The following is a 15,630-nucleotide window of genomic DNA, read 5'->3' as shown; positions in this document are numbered from 1 at the left end:
ATAAAGAGCAATGAAAATGGTATACATGTGGATAAATAGCAAATATATGCTACATATAAATAATAATAATAATGGTGTTTGGGAAGAGTTAAGGTTTTTAAGGTTCTTGCATTTATTTTGGGGAGAGTAAAAGAATCTATTAACATTAGGATTTGTTAAAAAGGCATGCTGTAATCTCTGGGTGGCTACTAAAAAATTATAAAAAAGTGAATAACTTCCACATTTTAAAAGGGGGATAATTAAATAAAATAATTCCAACAGAAGGCAAAGAAAGGAGAGAAAAAGGAGCATAGGTAAGTAGCACACATAGCACTTAGTATTGGTTTAAGTCCAAATAAACAGTAATTCCATCGTATATAAAATGACTATTTTTTCCCATTAAAAGGCAAGGATTTTCAGACTTATTTTGGATAAGAACCCAAATCTGGCACAGTGGCTCATGCCTATAATCTCAGCACTTTGGGAGGCCAAGGTGAGAGGATCACTTGAGCCCAGGAGCTACAGACCAGCCTGGGCAACATAGAGAAAACCCATCTCTACAAAAAATACAAAAATTATCTGGGCGTGGTGATGCATGCCTGTTGTGAGCAGTGAGCATGTAGAGAGGTGTGATCATGCCATTGCACTTCAGCCTGGGCAACAGAGTAAGACCCTGTCTCATAAAAAGAAAAAAGAATCCAAATCCAGCTACACCCTGTACATAGATGTACCTGAAATATAGAGATAAAGTAAAAGTCAAAGATAAAACATGTAACACTAACAAAAACAAAAAGCTAGTGCAGCTATGTTAAAATCAGACTAAACAGATTTTAAAGCAAAGAGCATTGCTAGATATACAGACATTTCACAATGATATAATGTTCAATTTTCCATGAAGATGTAATAATTCTACATTTGTATGCACCTGATAACTTGGCCTCAAAATACAGCTGGCCCTCTATATCTGTGGGTTTCATATCTGTAGATTCAACCAACTGGAAATCAAAAATATTTGAGGAAAAAACAACAAAAAATAATGCAAAATAAGAATAATACAAATAAAAACAGTACAGCATAATAACTATTGATATGGCATTTACATTGTATTAGATATTATAAGTAATCTAGAGATGATTTAAAGTGTATAGGAGGATGTGCATAGGTTATATGCAAATACTACATTATTATATATAAGGAACTTTAGCATTCCAAGATTTTGGTATCCGCAGGGGTCCTGGAACCAACCCCAATACTCAATTTGACACGCAAAGTCCTCTGTGATCTAGCCTCAGGTCACCTTCCTTTCATCCTCCATCTTCCACTGCTCTCCTTTCCAAAGCCTGTGCTCATTCCTCAGCCACCTTCACTCCTAGGCTCTAGTCCTTTCCCCACTATTGACCATTTTGTCTGTTGTGCCCTCTCCCACTTTCGAGAGTGACAGGTCCACAAGTCATCCTTCAAAGCTTAGCCCAAATGACACCTCTACAAAGTCTTCCCAATGACTCACGTTAGTCTTCATCTCTCCCATCATGCCCCAAACTTGGTGACTGCTAGTGGATTTTGAGGCTAGATACCATTGAAATCACCAAGAAACAGAACTCTTGGATCCTCATTATTAGAATACCTATGAGACAAATTTGCTGCTTAGTCTTGGGCCAGTACCTTATCCTCCCTGGCTCTTAGTTTCTACAACTGTACAAGAAGTACTTTGGACTAGAAGTGGTGTTTCTCCAAGGAGAATAGGGGTGCAATGCTTCACTATGCAAACTGCCTTGTCCATTGTGGGATCTAGCATGCCCGGCCTGGGGCACCCAATGCCAGAACATCTCTAATCACTATTACAATGAAAAAGACTCCAAAACATTTTCAAACACTCTAGAGACCATCTCCACTAGACTGGGTGATTCCTTAGGATCTTCCAGGTGAGATACTCTTGGAATCCTCTGGTTGGCGTGTAGGGACCACTGGTGGCCCAGAAACATGCAGAGGGCTGGACAGCGGGCCAATGGTGGGGAATAAGCTGGAACCAAGCTGGAGATGATGCCCAGGCCATATCCTGGCTCCTGAGGGCAGAACTAGTGTTCAGATTCCCAGCCTTCAAAGGGGCATGAACTCTCAAATGGCTCAGGCCTTCTTTTTTTTGAGATGGAGTCTCGCTGTGTCGCCCAGGCTGGAGTACAGTGGCGTGATCTCGGCTCACTGCAACCTCCACCTCCTGGGTTCAAGCAATTCTCCCGCCTCAGCCACCCGAGTAGCTGGGACTACAGGCGCCACCAATACACCTGGCTAATTTTTGTATTTTTTTGGTAGAGACGGGGTTTCGCCATGTTGGCCAGGCTGGTCTTGAACTCCTGACCTCAGGTGATCCACCCGCCTTGGCCTCCAAAATGCTGGGATTACAGGAGTGAGCCACCGCTCCCAGCCCTTTAGGCCTTCTCGTCTGGGGAGCTCCAGTCTGTCCTGAAGAACAGAATGCAGCGAGTAGGTGATGCCCCTGGGGAGGAATGGCTCACTCGTAGCAGGACTCTACAGGTGGGGCTGGCTGGGGCTAAGAGGGGGTCATGGGCTATTAGTGGAGCTGGAATAGCAAGCAAGAAGAGTCAGTTGTCCTATGCAGGCAATCATAGGAAGTTGGGTGGGGTGGGTAGGGGGACAGTTGTGACTTGGGCAGATGGAGAGGGCTCAAGACTGACCACTAGGCATGCCAGCAGTGGTTATGGACAGCAGAACGGTTGTGTTGCCCTCCTGCAGGGGAGAATGCAAACACACCTGGTTGTCCAGACTGGGTGGTGGAGAAGTAAGGGCAGAGAAAGTTCTCGTGTAAATGAGCATGATGAAGGGCAGCAAAGAGTGATGAGGCAACTGCAGAGCCGCCTCTCCTCAGAGGTGGTTTGTGGTGGGGCTCTGGGGGAAACCAGAGTGTTGCCCAATGTTAAGAGCTCAGAGTGAGTTTTCAGGAAGTTCTGGGAATCGTTGCAGTTGTTGATTCACTGAGTCATCCATTCAACAAGGATCTCCAGGGTTGGAATGAGAACACCCCAATCTTGTACATGTTCTGGGACCATAACTCATCTGGTGTGAGGTATCAGAGATTTGGTGACTGGGAAAAGAGGAACTTGGAAGGGGAAGAATTTGTCAGTGTTTATCCAACTGGGCCCAGTGGGGAGGCAGCTCTGAATCGAGAGAACTGGCCTCAAGCAGATGATGGGGGTCGTGACAAAGAAAGAGGGAGGAGGAAGGCTAGAAAGGATTATTTCAGGTACTGTCCCACCTGATCTAATGCCTGCAACCACCCAGTGAGCCCAAGGCTATGATTTCCCCTATTTTTCAGATTAACAAACAGAGGCCCAGTTCTTGAGTTCAGAAGGGCACTTCTTCAGGCTCACCGAGCTTGAATAGCCCTGAGAATCTCCAAACTGCCTTTGCCTCGATGTCTGCAATCTGTGGGTCTCAGATGGTGACTGCCAAAGTGGAAGGCAGTTTCTGTGTCTACTGTGGATCTTTCTGACAGCAACACCTGTCCCCACAGTAGCACCACCAGTTTTCCAGAAGTCTGGTTATATGGCTGGTGTCCCAGAATCTGCTCACCCATGGACAAACACATAAAACTGAATTTTTAAACTTTCCACACCAGAGACCAAGTCTTGGTGACTACACAATGTCAGCTAATGTGTTTTGAGTGTGTGCTATGTGCTTGGCACTGCTTTTAGCAGTTCAGATATATGAACTCATTCATTCCTCACACCAACCTGGGAGGGACATGCCTCTGTTATCCTCATTTTACAGGTGGAGAAACAGAAGCCTGGAGATGCTGAGTAACTTGCCCATAGTCTCACAGCTGACAAGTGGCCAAGAAGGATTCAAACACATGTGTGCTGGCTCCAGTGGCTCCAGAAGTCTGGTGAGGGGCTACCTGAAGCACATTGCCCCCTAGAGTTAAGGACAGCTGGATCTGGGCTCCGGAAGCCTGCAGTTCATTTCTGGCTGCACAACCAATTAGCTGTGTGACCTGAAGCGCATCTCTCACTCCCTCTCTGAATCCCCATTTTCTCCCTGGTTGAATGAAAGGATTCAACTGGATGGTCCCTAGCTTGGTTGGTTGCAGCTCTGACATTTCAAGAGGCTTCATCAGGCTAAAATAAGCACAAGAGCCACGCTGCGGTTGGGAAAGGGCAGCCTGGGACGTGCGTGCGTGGAAGCTGGGAGGCTCTCCATGGTGAGGAGGTGTAGAGGGCTAATTGCTAGTGCATGAGCTCAGCTGGAGGCCACTTTCTCCACTCTGTGCCCACAGCTGGCTGTGAGTCACTGACAGGTCACCAGCCACAGTGGGGCTGCTGGAGACAGGGCAGACCCTGAACATGGAGAGAAGACAAGTCTGACCCGGTGCTGGCCTTAGGGGGCCCAGGGGACTTGCATGCTCTTCCTAGTCCCTGCCTAGTGCTACTGCACCCTACTAGGAAGGCACCCCATCTCCATCTCCCTGAGCACAGCACCCCTTTTCATGGCAGCTCTGCCAGCCCTGGCACTCTGCCACTCAGCTCACATACACTGAGTAGCCATGCTGTGCCAGCACTGAGAGACCGAGGCAGGTAAGAGATGATCCCTGCTCTTAGGAAGCTTGCAGGCAAGGGGTCAGGGCCTGGCCATGTGTCTCAGTCTTCTGAACCTGCCAGTGGGGGCTTGGAACTAGGGCACCTGCACATGTCCCAGAGCTGGGGCTGTTGAAGCACCTACCCCTGCCCTCTGCAGGATGGCCAGGTGCCAACCCCACTCCTAACCCTGAGGAGGAGGCTGCCAGACAGGCCACGACCTCAGGACAGACGTGTGCCAAAGGGTCACCCCTGGGAAAGTGGCCCAAAGGGGGTTCTAGAAAGTTACCTCCTTGAGAAAGCTGAGAAGGTATGGGGAGCGGAGTCAGGGCTGAGCTTCTCTCAAGACGCTTCTCCTTGCACTGCTATGAATGTCTTCCAGCATGACCTGTCTGGGGTTGCTAGAGAGATTCAAAGTGTGTTTTCTGCCTCTGTGCGTGTGCTGCGTGCATCTCTCACTGGGCTCTTTGAGGACAGGGCCCATGGCTCGTTGCCTACCTGGGGTCTGGCATAGCGCCAGTCTCACAGACTCACTTCTGAGACAAACGTCAGAGGTCTCCAGTCTTCTGTCCAGCATGTGAAATTCTCTGTAGTATTCAGTGGTAGTTTCATTCATTCATTAATTCACTCACCATTCATTGGTTCCTTCATTGAAGCAACAGCACCTCTGTGAAGCGCTACTTTTGCTTCTGCTTAAACTCATTCCTGAGAAGCTCGTAGTCCTTTGGGATCATCCAATCGACATTGTGACCATCTGACTTTTAAGATTTCCTACTGTCGGTGATTTAAAAACTGACTCCCTGAGTTCACCTTCTGCTGGCATTTCTTCTGCTCCTGGAGAACCAGTTTAACCCTTCTTTGCATGGCAGCCTTCAGAGCATTCAAGGCATGCTCAACTCTCTTTCTTCCTTTCTTCCCCCCTTCCCTTTCCCTTCCCCTCCCCTCCGCCCTCCCTCCCTTCCTACCTCCCCACTTTCCTCCCTCCTTCCCTTCTCCCTTCCTCCCTCCCTTTCTCCCTCCCTCCTTCCCTCCTTCCCTCCTCCCTCCTTCCTACCTCCCTTCCTCCCTCTTCCCTTCCTCCCTTCCTCCCTTCCTTCCTTCCTTTTTCTTCCTTCCCTCTTTCCTTCTTCTTTCCATGTATAGACAGTTATTGAGCTTCCAGTATGGGACAGGCACCAGGAAAACAATGGTAAAAAGCATATACAGCCCTTGACCTCATGCTACTTACAGCCTAGTTAGGGAGGCACCACAGATCAACCAAATGGGTACCTGCAAAGCTGCCTCTATTAAGTGCAACCCCAAGACCAGGGCGAGGCATCAGGTAGAGCATGTAAAAGTGGGATAGCATCCACAGAAAGGGCTTTCTTTCTTGGGGTGAAACACCCCTGTGGCGCTTCCTTAGATGATGGGGTTTCTGGACTCCTCCCCACCCTGTCACTCTTTTTGTCACTGTCCCCTTGAGGAGGTCCCCAGGTCTGGACCCACTGCTCCAGGAGGGCCTGGCCAGCTTGGTGCCCAGGGAGCAGCCCCTCTCTGGTTGGACTCAGCCCTCCCATTAGTGCAGCCCAAGTCTGCACGCTCATTGCTCCCTGAGGGGCAAGGCTCCTCCCAGTAATGTTCACACAAATTGTTCTTACGTGTGGCCTCCCCCAGACTGTGTTTGAGCTGTTGAGTGTCTCACCTTGAGTTCGAGTCCTCGCGCTGGTCCTGTGAATGCTCATCTCTCTGGTATGGCCTATTCCCTCCACCCATCAGGGTCTGTCCGAGTCTGGATTCTGCTGCTGGCTGTGAAGCTCAGGGATGCATTCCCTGTTAATGTGACCAGGAGGGAGTCTGCTTATCCTAGATTAGGTACCTACAAGCAGGTTCTCAGGGAATATGAGGAGTTGGGGCACTTACAGGCCCGAGCTATGGAATGGCATCTGCCCTGGGGCTCCAGAAAGAGGTGCACAGGGCCTGAGGCTTGAGCTAAGCAAGGTGCTGCTGTTCTGTGATCTCTGCCCCGGCTCCCGTGCCCCTTCCCAGCCCATTATCAATACAGATGGGGGAGTGGGGCCAGATGCATGTGTATTTGTGTGTCTGTGTGGTGTGCACACACCTGTGTGTACATGTGGGTACAATGCGTGAGCCTGTAGGAATTGCCTGATAGGCCTCGCTGTTGGCTGGCATCCACCTTTTGCCATTGGTAACCCTGTCACTTGGAGGTAGCCAGGTCATCAGAGCTCTGGCTAGGGCTCCACTCACCTGCCCTGCCTAACAGCCACACCAAGTGGCTCATCCGCCCTGCCTGCAGGGTCCTACTCACCACCCCAGCCTCCTCAGGAACCTGGCCAGGACCCCCTCCTCAGTCCTTTACTTCTGCCCACCAGTCTCACTGCTGCTGGTGCCACACCCCCTCTCCCAGCCCCCAGCCCACTCCTTGCCTCAGCCCCCACAGGAAGCCTTTTAAAGAGACACCTGGCCCTGCTACTTCTCTGTTTATAACCCTTTCGTAGCATGGTCTCCCATGAAGGAAGTCCAGACCTACCCTGCCCCTCTTGCCCAGCCCCAGCCAACCCCCCAGCCTTAGCTTGCCCCACTCCCGCTCCAGGCTGGGCCATCCTGCACGACTCTCACTTCCCTGCTGTAACTGCAGGGAGCCGTGTGCTCCAGGCTCCAGGCCTTTGTGCAGGCTGCTCCTTCTGCCTAAAATTCGGGCCCCGCCAACTCACTTCAATTGTCACCCCCTCCTCATCCTTTCGGGCTCAGTTTAGACATGGGCTTCTCCAGGAAGCCCTCCCTGACCGTTCTCCTCGCTGTCACAGACTGTAGGCTCTAGGAGGGCAGGGTCCGTATGGGATTTATTACAGTGTTTTCAGAGGTGAATACTCAATAAATCTTATTAAATGCGTGAAATAATCTCTATGGATTTCTCATTTGATATCTGTAAAATGAAAACAATGCTATGTGACACACAGGGTTCTGAAGAGGGCGGTGGGAAATGATGTCTATGAATTTTCCATCATGGTGCTAGACATATAATAGGTGCTCCAGAAACATAGTTCTAATTTCCCTGCTCTTTAATGTTTATGGGTAAACACATGTTTTCCATTTAAAAAACTGAAATTTTGGAGTCCTTTTGACCCCAAAGCACGACTAGCTTCTTGCTGTCCAGGTTTCCACTCAAATGTCACCACCTCACCAAGATATTTTTGGACCACCCCATATAAAACAGCGCCCCCACCCCACCCCATCGCTCTCCACTCTAATACTTGCCACACCATGACCTGAGCTTTATGATTTTTTCACTTGTTGATCATCTGTCTTTCTCTGCCTAGAATGTGAGCACCATGAAGGCAGAGAACTTGGCTGATTTTTTCATTGCTGTAGCCTCAGTGCCCAGAGCCGTGCCTGGCAACATAGCGGCTGTCTAGGGGTTTCCAGGGCCAAGGCTGTGAAGTCTCTAGGCACTCTCTGGGGACAAATGCCAGAAAGAGAGAGAGACAGAGAGACAGAGAGAGAGAGAGAGAGAGAGAGAGAGAGAGTGTGTGTGTGTCTTTGTTTGAGATGGAAGGGCAGAAGTCGGTGAGATACCTCTTCCCTTCCCTCATTGTACATCTCAGGGAGGTGGGGACTCGGGGAAAACTCTCACAGCAGCTCCCTGGCCATGTTTCCTGAGGGAAATCAGGAGCAATGGCCTCTCCAGGGCCATGCAGATGCAGGTTGCTTGGGGTGCAGGGGAGGGGGCAGCACCTCCTTCGTGGTGACCCTGGGCATTTGGAACTGAACACGAGCCTTTCTAAGCACCCCTGACTCACAGCATCAAGGAGAGGCTGGGGCATATCTGTGGTTTCTCCCTTGAAGGGATCTGCTCTGCTGCCCCAAGCTGGGAGCCCAGGCCTAGGCCTGCCTCTTATTGGTGACTTTTTTCTTCCCTGGGCTGTACTTGCTCCTCTCTTCACTCTTGCCTTCCTGTCATCAGTGTCTGATGGGCCCTGTCCTACCTGCGTTCCCTGTTGGTATCAAATTCTCACACTTGTGGATGGAGTGGTGCAGCTCCCTGAGTCTCCCCTACCTATGCTGCCCGCCTTGGGCTTCCTGGGGTCAGCCCCCAGCCCTCAGCCACTGCAGGGCCCTGCTGGCCCTCCCACCCTACCACTCTGACCCTCCTCCGAGGCATGTGAGAGGGATTCCAGAGAAGAACTCCCAGAGCCTGCCACCCAACCTGCTGCCCCTCCCCACTGATGAAGGACACTCTGTCTCCACTTGGCCCCCGCCACCCCTCTAAGGGGGCTCAGCATCAGATAAGCCTATCTGACCTCTGGCTTGGATGGGTGGGGAGGGCAGAGAGCAGTGAGGGTTTGCCCAGGCAGTGACTTTGGACCCAAGTGTGGAAAGGAACTCCTGCTGGCTCAAGCCCCAGCCCCAGGCCCAGGGGTCTGAAATCACAGCCTCCTCCTTAGAGCTGTCGGCACCCCTGGTTCTAGAGCTCCCGGTCCTGTCAGGGTCCCAGAATGTTTGAGCAGGAAAGGATTTCAGAGTTCATACGTTTGTGAAGTGGACTCTGCAGTGCCCAGGAGCTGATCTGTGCGCACACGTATGTGTGCATTCGTGTGTCATGGACTAACCGCTGGGGCATGAAGCCCACCCCTATTTTGACCAAAGAACCCCCGACCTTTTTCCTATGTTACCACAGAGAACAGAGATGCCACATGATTTACAATTTAAACAAGAGGATTCACTGTTTGAAAAAAAGGTTTGAAAATCAGGAAAGCTAAACAAAAGTCATTTTACATATGGAGAAACTGAGACCCATATGTGTAAATGGCTTCCCAAGGTCACAGTGGTGTCAGTGGCAGAGCTGGTACTGTACCAGGCTGCCTGGATCATAGACTGATGTTTTTGCCAAGACCAGCCGAAATGTTCCTCTCAGGAGGTGGCAGGTGGGGGTGGAGTGCCAGGAAGGCACTGTCCAAAGAAGTGGGTTAAGGTCACAGCCTCCCGGCTCCCAAGGACCCCCTGAGAACAGTTGCTTTGGAAAGGTCACTCAGATGTGAACCAGAGGCTTGAGGTTTTGGAGTGGAAAGGGGCAGGGTAAGGAAGAATAGAGTAGGGGGAGGGCGGGGGACAGGGATTCATCCTCCAGGTTCCTCACACCCCCACTGGGAGCAGCGCCCCCCCCCCAAGCACCTGATTTCAAAGTCTCCCCTCCACTGAAGGGAGGGGCAGAGGGAGCTCATGACTGGCATGGAGGGGGCTGGGTGGCCCTGAGGTAATGACTGCTGGGGTGGGGAGGCTCTGAAGCAGGAACCTGAACTTTCTGTCTCAGAGTCTGCCCTGGCAGTCAGTGGCAGAAATGGCACAGTAGGGGGCTCTGTGGCACTCACTGTGTCTCCCCCAGTGCCCAGCTGGGGACTCAGGAAATGCTATTGAATAAATGGATTGTGTCCTCCCTCCCCCAGCACCCCCACAATCACCAGCCTCCTCCCTCTCCCTCCCCCTGTCCTTTAGAGTCTACAAGGACTGAGTTATTCTTAGTAAGTTTCATTCATCAAAGCGTGACAAATGGTGTCCTGGGAGGAATGCCTGGGCGCCATGGGGAGCCAGAGGGTGGGGTGGGGTGCAAATGTCCCATTTGAGGGGAGAGGCCATTGCCTTCAGGGAGCTCCAGATGGAGGGGGAGACAGCCCTGTCCTCATGGGAATCTGTCTGATGCAGAAGACACAAAGAACCTAGTCCCAGGGGAGACACAGTCCCTGTCCTTTGGGGGAGGCCCCAGTCTGAAGGGGGGAGACAGCCCTGCCCTCAGGGAGCTCCAGTCTGAGGGGAGATGCAGCCTCATCCTCAGGCAGCCCCAGTCTGAGGGGGACACAGCCCCATCTTCAGGGAGCTCCAGTCTGAGGGAGAAGCAGCCCTTTCTTCAGGGAGCCCCAGTCTGAGGGAGACACAGCCCCGTCCTCAGGGAGCCGCAGTCTGAGGGGAGACACAACGCTGTCCTGAGGGAGCCCCACTTTGAGGGAGACACGGCCCCATCTTCAGGGATTCCCAGTCTGAGGCAGACACAGCCCCGTCCTCAGGGAGCCCCAGTCTGAGGGGAGACACAGCCCTGACTCAGGGAGCCCCAGGCTGAGGGGAGACACAGCCCTGTCCTCAGGGAGCCCCAGTCGGAGGGGAGAAACAGCCCCATCCTCAGGGAGCCCCAGTCGGAGGGGAGAAACAGCCCCATCCTCAGGGAACCGTCAGTCTGAATCGGAGACACAGCCTTGCCCTCAGAGCGCTCCCTGTGATAGGAGATAATCCTCCCATATTCCCCCCTTCTCCAGCCCTTAGTGAAATCCCAGCCTGAAGGGAGAGATCCAATTTCCTGTTCTCAAGCAACCTCTAGTCTCATGGCAGAAAAATAGCTACCATCCCTGATGGAGAAGATAGGGTGCCACCCAAGTCACGGACTGAAACTCAAGATGACAAAAGGGAGTGCTGGAGGGGTATCCGGGAGCATGTGCAGCCACCACGGCCACTGCAAGTGGGGAGCCTGACGATGACAGAGAAGAGGGGGCTCCCAGAGACACTTGACTGGGCACCCTTACCAAGAAACATGCAGACCACAAAGGGGCAGCAATCATGGGGACTAAGATCCTGACGCTGAGGAAAAGGATGTAGGCACGGGCCCAGCGGGCCGGTCTAAATCAGAGGTCCACCTTCACTGGGAGGGCAGTCGGAGAACCCACATTGTCTGCAGACTCTCACATTCAACCTAAAACCCATGTACTCATTGCAAGCCAAACAAAACCTCACTGAAGGTAAAACGTGGCCCAAGGCCATGAGTTTGCAACACCCTGGACCTCAGGAAAGAATTGCTGATAGAGGAGAGCTCTGAGCCTGGTTTTGGGGGAAGGAGCTGATGGCCAAGCTACCCCTTTAATTCTGGCCTTCGGGCCTGGCTTCTATCTTCAGGGCCTCTCTCACCCTACCTGACATGGGAGGCCAGAGCCACCTCACTCCTCACCAGCTCCCCTATGGCGGCCACAGCTGGCCAGCAGGCGGGGCCTCCGTGTCTGTGGCGGGGATGTCACCTTTCTTCGCAGGAAGGTAATTTCCCCGCCAGGGGAGGGAGTCCGTCGTGCTGCTCATAAAGCCACTGTTAAACGAGCGGGTCTGGGAGTTCTGGCTGGGCGGACTTCCCTTCCCTTCTCCGTGCCTCAAGTGCCAAACGGGGGTACTGCTGCCCTGCGTGCCTTTGCCACTCCTCCCACTGAAGGCTAACTTTCCAATAGACCTCACTGTTTCTGTCAACGAAATAGGTCCCTGGCCCCTCCCCACTCTCCCAGTCTCTTCCAGCAGAGACCTTCCAGGACTGTAGGTTTAGGGGAGTGGAAGGGCCGGCTTCGGTCTCCCCAAGTTCTGCCCCCAGTGAGGCCTCATAGCTCTCCTGGGACTGAGGGGCAGTCCCAGAGGGCGGCAGGAGTTGGCAGCCAGTGGTCCTGGGGACCGCGAGGTGGGTGGGTGGAGGGTGGCGAAGGGAGGGTTCCGGGACCGGGGAGCGGCGTCTTAATTACGGCGCGTTGGCCCAGCGCCGCGGAGCGCCGCGGATGACAGCGGCGGTGGGTAATTAGAGCGCATTAGCCGTGCCCCTGCAATCCTGTAATTTCTTCTCGCGCTCGGGGTGTGTTGTAGGAGGCGAAGCGATGCCGGCTTGGCTGAGTCAGACTCTCGGAAGCCCAGGAGGGGACGCAGGGGGCGGCAGAGGCCGCGAAGAAGGGACTCCCGCCGGGGGAGGCGCAGACGCAGTCCTCTAGGAGTCACCTGTCCCGGGCTCCTCGGCGCGCGCGCCCCGTCGGCGGCGGGAGGTGGTGGGAAGGGGGCGTGACCTGCGTCTCCTCCCGCCGCCGCCGCCGCCGCCGCCGCCGCGCGCTCTACCGGCCCGCGAGTCCTCCGCGACATCCGGGCCAGCGTCTGCACCCAGCCACGTGTCCTGCCCCTGGTGCGCAGGTGGACTGGAAAAGAGGAAGGCAAACGCAGTGGCTAGGCGGAGACCTCCCAAATCCCACGTCTCCCCGAGAATCCCCGACGGGCTACAGACCTAGGGCAGCCATAAGAAAAAACGTCAGCTACATCTCGAGGGAGTGGGGTGGAGTGCGGGCGCTTGCTCTAGTCGAGCCCTGACATCGATTCTGCGGGGGCGGGGAGGAGTCGGCGCGGGGCTGGGGCTGGGAGGGGAGTTTATTTATTAGCCAGATTAGCCAGCATTAATGGGGGAGCGGTGGCGGCCGGCGGCAGCAGGGACATAGCTGGCATAGCTGGCATAGCGGCGGGGCCTCCTGCGGCGCGGGGCTCCGCGGCTTCAAAGGGGCTTAAAGAGGCCCTTGGTGGCACTGCCACGGCCCCGCGGGGGAGGGCGTGGGCGCGGGCGGCGGGGGAGAAGGCGGCCATTGTGCACCGAGGGATTAGGGCTCTGGCCTGGAAGGAATTTTAAACTGCCGCGAGCCGGAGCCCCAGGACTCTCCTCCTGCCCCACCCCTGCCCTCCGGAGCACGCTGAGGTGTTTACCTGCTTTCCTATGTCTGGGGTGGAGGGGGTGTCCTCTCTCCTCCCTCAAACTGGAGGCACCTAGGGTTACCAGATCTGGCAAATAAAAACACAAGACTTCCAGTTAAACTGGATACTTTAAATAGTGTAAGTCTGTCCCAAATATTGTATGGGACAGACTTATGCTAAAATATTATTCGTTGTTTATCTGATATTCAATTTAATTGGACGTCTTGTATTTTTTTTCCTGGCAGCCCTTGAGGCATTGAAATCTCTAATCCATGTCTGGAAACAGATTGATGGTTCCCGAAAGTCCAGTGGGTATGCCTCATTTGAGAGATCCCTAAGGGCAGGGTCGTGTCTCTCCCCTTACACTGGGAGTTTCCTGAAGCCCAGATACTGAGTTTCACCCTAAAGAAGGCAGCTCTGAGAGCACTATATGTGTCCCCCGTCAGACTGGGAGCTTCCTGAGGACAGGGGCTAAATTTCACCCATGAGAGTAACGCTTCAAGGTCAGTGTCTGTGACCTGTGACACTGGGGTTTCCTGAGGCATGGTCTGTCCGCTTCCTAGAGGGCAAGTCTCTCTCCTCCCTCACGTCTCACTCTCCCACCCCCACCCCACCCCAGGCTGCTGGAGGCTCCTCCTCCATTAGTGTTGCTTCCTGCCCATAGGGGGTGCTAGGGGCCCAGCGGACTGGCCTACGGATGGATGGGACCTGTTTATTGGGACTCGGGGCTTCAGTCCTTCGGGGTTGATGCACTTGAGAATAATGAGGGTGGGGTCCCCAACCTGTGAGGCTTGCTGAGGCAGTTGAGGGCCAGGTCTACTGGGGCCAGAGGCGGTGGCCAGCATGTGGGAGAAGCTCTGGGTGCTGGGTACCCACTGTTTCTTCCAGGAAGGGACAGTGTGGCCCTTGGTACAGAACATCCTGCCCACCTCCTCTCATAACCATTGAAGCCAAGCCCCAGTCCTCCACCAGCCTCTCCAGACCCCACTGCCTAACCTTTGCTTGTGCTGTTCTTTCTGCCAGAAACACTCTGTCTTCCTGCTTTGAGGACAGCTGAAGTCTTGCCACTTCTTCTGGATGCTCTGACCATCAGTAAGGTGGGCTGCTTGTGCCTGGGGGTCTTCTGGTGAAAAGAGCCCTCCATCTACTCCCTCCTTCCTCAACAACTTTGGCCACAGGGGCCAAAGAGGGGGCCAAGGTGGGGGAGGGGAGAGACAGGAACATTGGGGGAGCATAGGCAGAAGGGGAGTAAGAATAGGAACCTCCTTCCCCCCAACCCATCCCCCTGAAGCCCCTTCACAAGTCCCTTCATCCCCTCAGGGCCTCTGAACTCTTTCTCCTTGAAGCTGAGGGAAGCCCTGGAGAAGCGCTTTCCCACGGTCACAGCCTCAACAAACCCCTGCCCCCTTCTCCTTTGACTGCAGCCACCTCAGTCTCACCCTCCGCAGAATGCAGGCCCACTCCGTTGCTGAAGGGCCTCCTCCTTGGGCCAGGGCGCCTGCTTCTGCCAGTGGCATCATCACCCCACTCCTCAGCCGCCAGTCATCAGGTTGGCAATTAGCTACTTCCTCTCAGCTGCATGAGGCCACCAAACGTCACAGCCCCTCCCCTGGCCTGCCGCGGCGGGAGTGCTGGGGGCTGCCCCTACCCTTTGTAGTCAGTGCCAAGTCCTGGCTCAGTCCCCCTTCCCTACAACCTACTGAGTGCTAGGGTAATGAGCCTCCCATCTAGGGAGCTGAAAGCCTCGCTGCCTTCTCCCCGCTTCAAACCTCCTCCCCCATGTCACCCTATCCCATTGGGTGAGGACACTCCCGCTGCCTGGGTGGGGTGATGCCTGCTCAAGGGCACTAGCAGCCTGGGTGGGGCTTAAGACTCAGGTGTCTCTGTCCCCAGTCACAGGCGGTTTTCACCAGCCCCTTACCTGGGGCCCAGGAGTCTGAACTGAAGATGGTGGCAGTTATTTGGGAAGGGGAGAGAAATGGGGACTCATTCTACAGACCCCCAAACATGCAGGGGGCAGGCCCTTCATGAACACCCACATGGGCTCATTTGCCTGTGTCTAGGCACACACACGGTTACAATCTAGGCAATGTATGCTCCACTGCACTGTACCCACATGTGCCCCAGGTGGGCAAGTAAGCCCACTTGCCCAGATACCTCTCATGCCCACACATCCCTCCTCCAGGTGTGTGCATGCAAACTCACTGACATACAGTACTCAAAAAGGCAGTGAGCTTGCTGCCACACCAAAAACAAAACCGGGACCCTACAGAGGAATCTAGAAGCATGGGAGGGAAGGAGAGACCACCCCAACACTCGCTACCCCACAGACCAGGGAATCTTCCTGGGGAAGGATGGGAGGAAGTCTGCACTTCAGGGATATGTGTGGGGTACGCAGGTGGGCCGTGGTGGAAGCAGTTGTGTTGGAGTCTGGGTTGGGGGTGGAGGATGTGGATTTCCAGAGAGAATTGAAAAATTCCAACACATATAAACAAAGGCATGTGATCTTAGGCAGATCACTTAACTTCTTGGGGGCCCCAGTGACTGC

The 15,630-nt window shown here is 53.7% G+C and overlaps 2 long non-coding RNA genes across 5 annotated transcripts in view, besides 5 other annotated features; one reads left to right on the top strand and one right to left on the bottom strand.

Annotated features, from left to right (window-relative positions):
* The window catches only part of SCIRT (stem cell inhibitory RNA transcript), a 78,930-nt gene that overhangs the window by 59,431 nt on the left and 3,869 nt on the right, over positions 1–15,630 (top strand). The window contains exons 2-3 of one of the 2 annotated variants that reach the window (NR_125864.1): positions 14,106–14,179; positions 14,507–14,631. This is a non-coding gene — a long non-coding RNA (stem cell inhibitory RNA transcript). Of the gene's footprint in view, positions 1–11,571; positions 11,637–14,105; positions 14,180–14,506; positions 14,632–15,630 lie in introns of those variants that run through there. The other variant, NR_125865.1, reaches the window with a different exon arrangement.
* Positions 3,791–4,990: an enhancer, noted in NCBI's record as "CDK7 strongly-dependent group 2 enhancer chr6:43977969-43979168 (GRCh37/hg19 assembly coordinates)". NCBI's record gives its function as "activates an origin of replication core promoter dependent on BRD2, BRD4, P300/CBP, MED14 and CDK7 cofactors, with strong dependence on CDK7, by STARR-seq in HCT116 cells {active_cell/tissue: HCT116}" and the evidence as "EXISTENCE:reporter gene assay evidence [ECO:0000049][PMID:35650434]".
* Positions 4,502–4,700: a silencer, noted in NCBI's record as "fragment chr6:43978259-43978457 (GRCh37/hg19 assembly coordinates)". NCBI's record gives its function as "represses an EF-1alpha promoter that drives an FKBP-Casp9 reporter gene in an ReSE screen in HepG2 liver carcinoma cells {active_cell/tissue: HepG2}" and the evidence as "EXISTENCE:reporter gene assay evidence [ECO:0000049][PMID:32094911]".
* Positions 7,610–14,637, bottom strand: LINC03040 (long intergenic non-protein coding RNA 3040). Of its 3 annotated transcripts, none has more exons than NR_160955.1 (4): positions 14,522–14,637; positions 14,079–14,248; positions 13,095–13,169; positions 7,610–12,541 (listed from the first exon to the last, which is right to left on the bottom strand). It is a non-coding gene; the product is annotated as a long intergenic non-protein coding RNA 3040 (long non-coding RNA). The 3 variants fall into 3 exon arrangements; NR_160954.1 differs by having other exon boundaries at positions 14,079–14,205; NR_160956.1 differs by lacking the exon at positions 14,079–14,248.
* Positions 10,009–10,640: an enhancer, noted in NCBI's record as "H3K4me1 hESC enhancer chr6:43972319-43972950 (GRCh37/hg19 assembly coordinates)". NCBI's record gives its function as "activates a minimal SCP1, AML or CMV promoter by ChIP-STARR-seq in primed H9 embryonic stem cells {active_cell/tissue: H9 hESC(primed)}" and the evidence as "EXISTENCE:reporter gene assay evidence [ECO:0000049][PMID:30033119]".
* Positions 12,289–12,458: a silencer, noted in NCBI's record as "silent region_17244". NCBI's record gives its function as "represses an Ori minimal core promoter by ATAC-STARR-seq in GM12878 lymphoblastoid cells {active_cell/tissue: GM12878}" and the evidence as "EXISTENCE:reporter gene assay evidence [ECO:0000049][PMID:35858748]".
* Positions 14,381–14,530: an enhancer, noted in NCBI's record as "active region_24624". NCBI's record gives its function as "activates an Ori minimal core promoter by ATAC-STARR-seq in GM12878 lymphoblastoid cells {active_cell/tissue: GM12878}" and the evidence as "EXISTENCE:reporter gene assay evidence [ECO:0000049][PMID:35858748]".

The sequence above is a fragment of the Homo sapiens genome, chromosome 6, assembly GCF_000001405.40.
Source record: "Homo sapiens chromosome 6, GRCh38.p14 Primary Assembly".
NCBI classification, from domain to species: Eukaryota; Metazoa; Chordata; class Mammalia; order Primates; family Hominidae; genus Homo; species Homo sapiens.
Note: the sequence above shows the minus strand (reverse complement) of the source record. Positions and strands in the feature narration are given on the sequence as shown.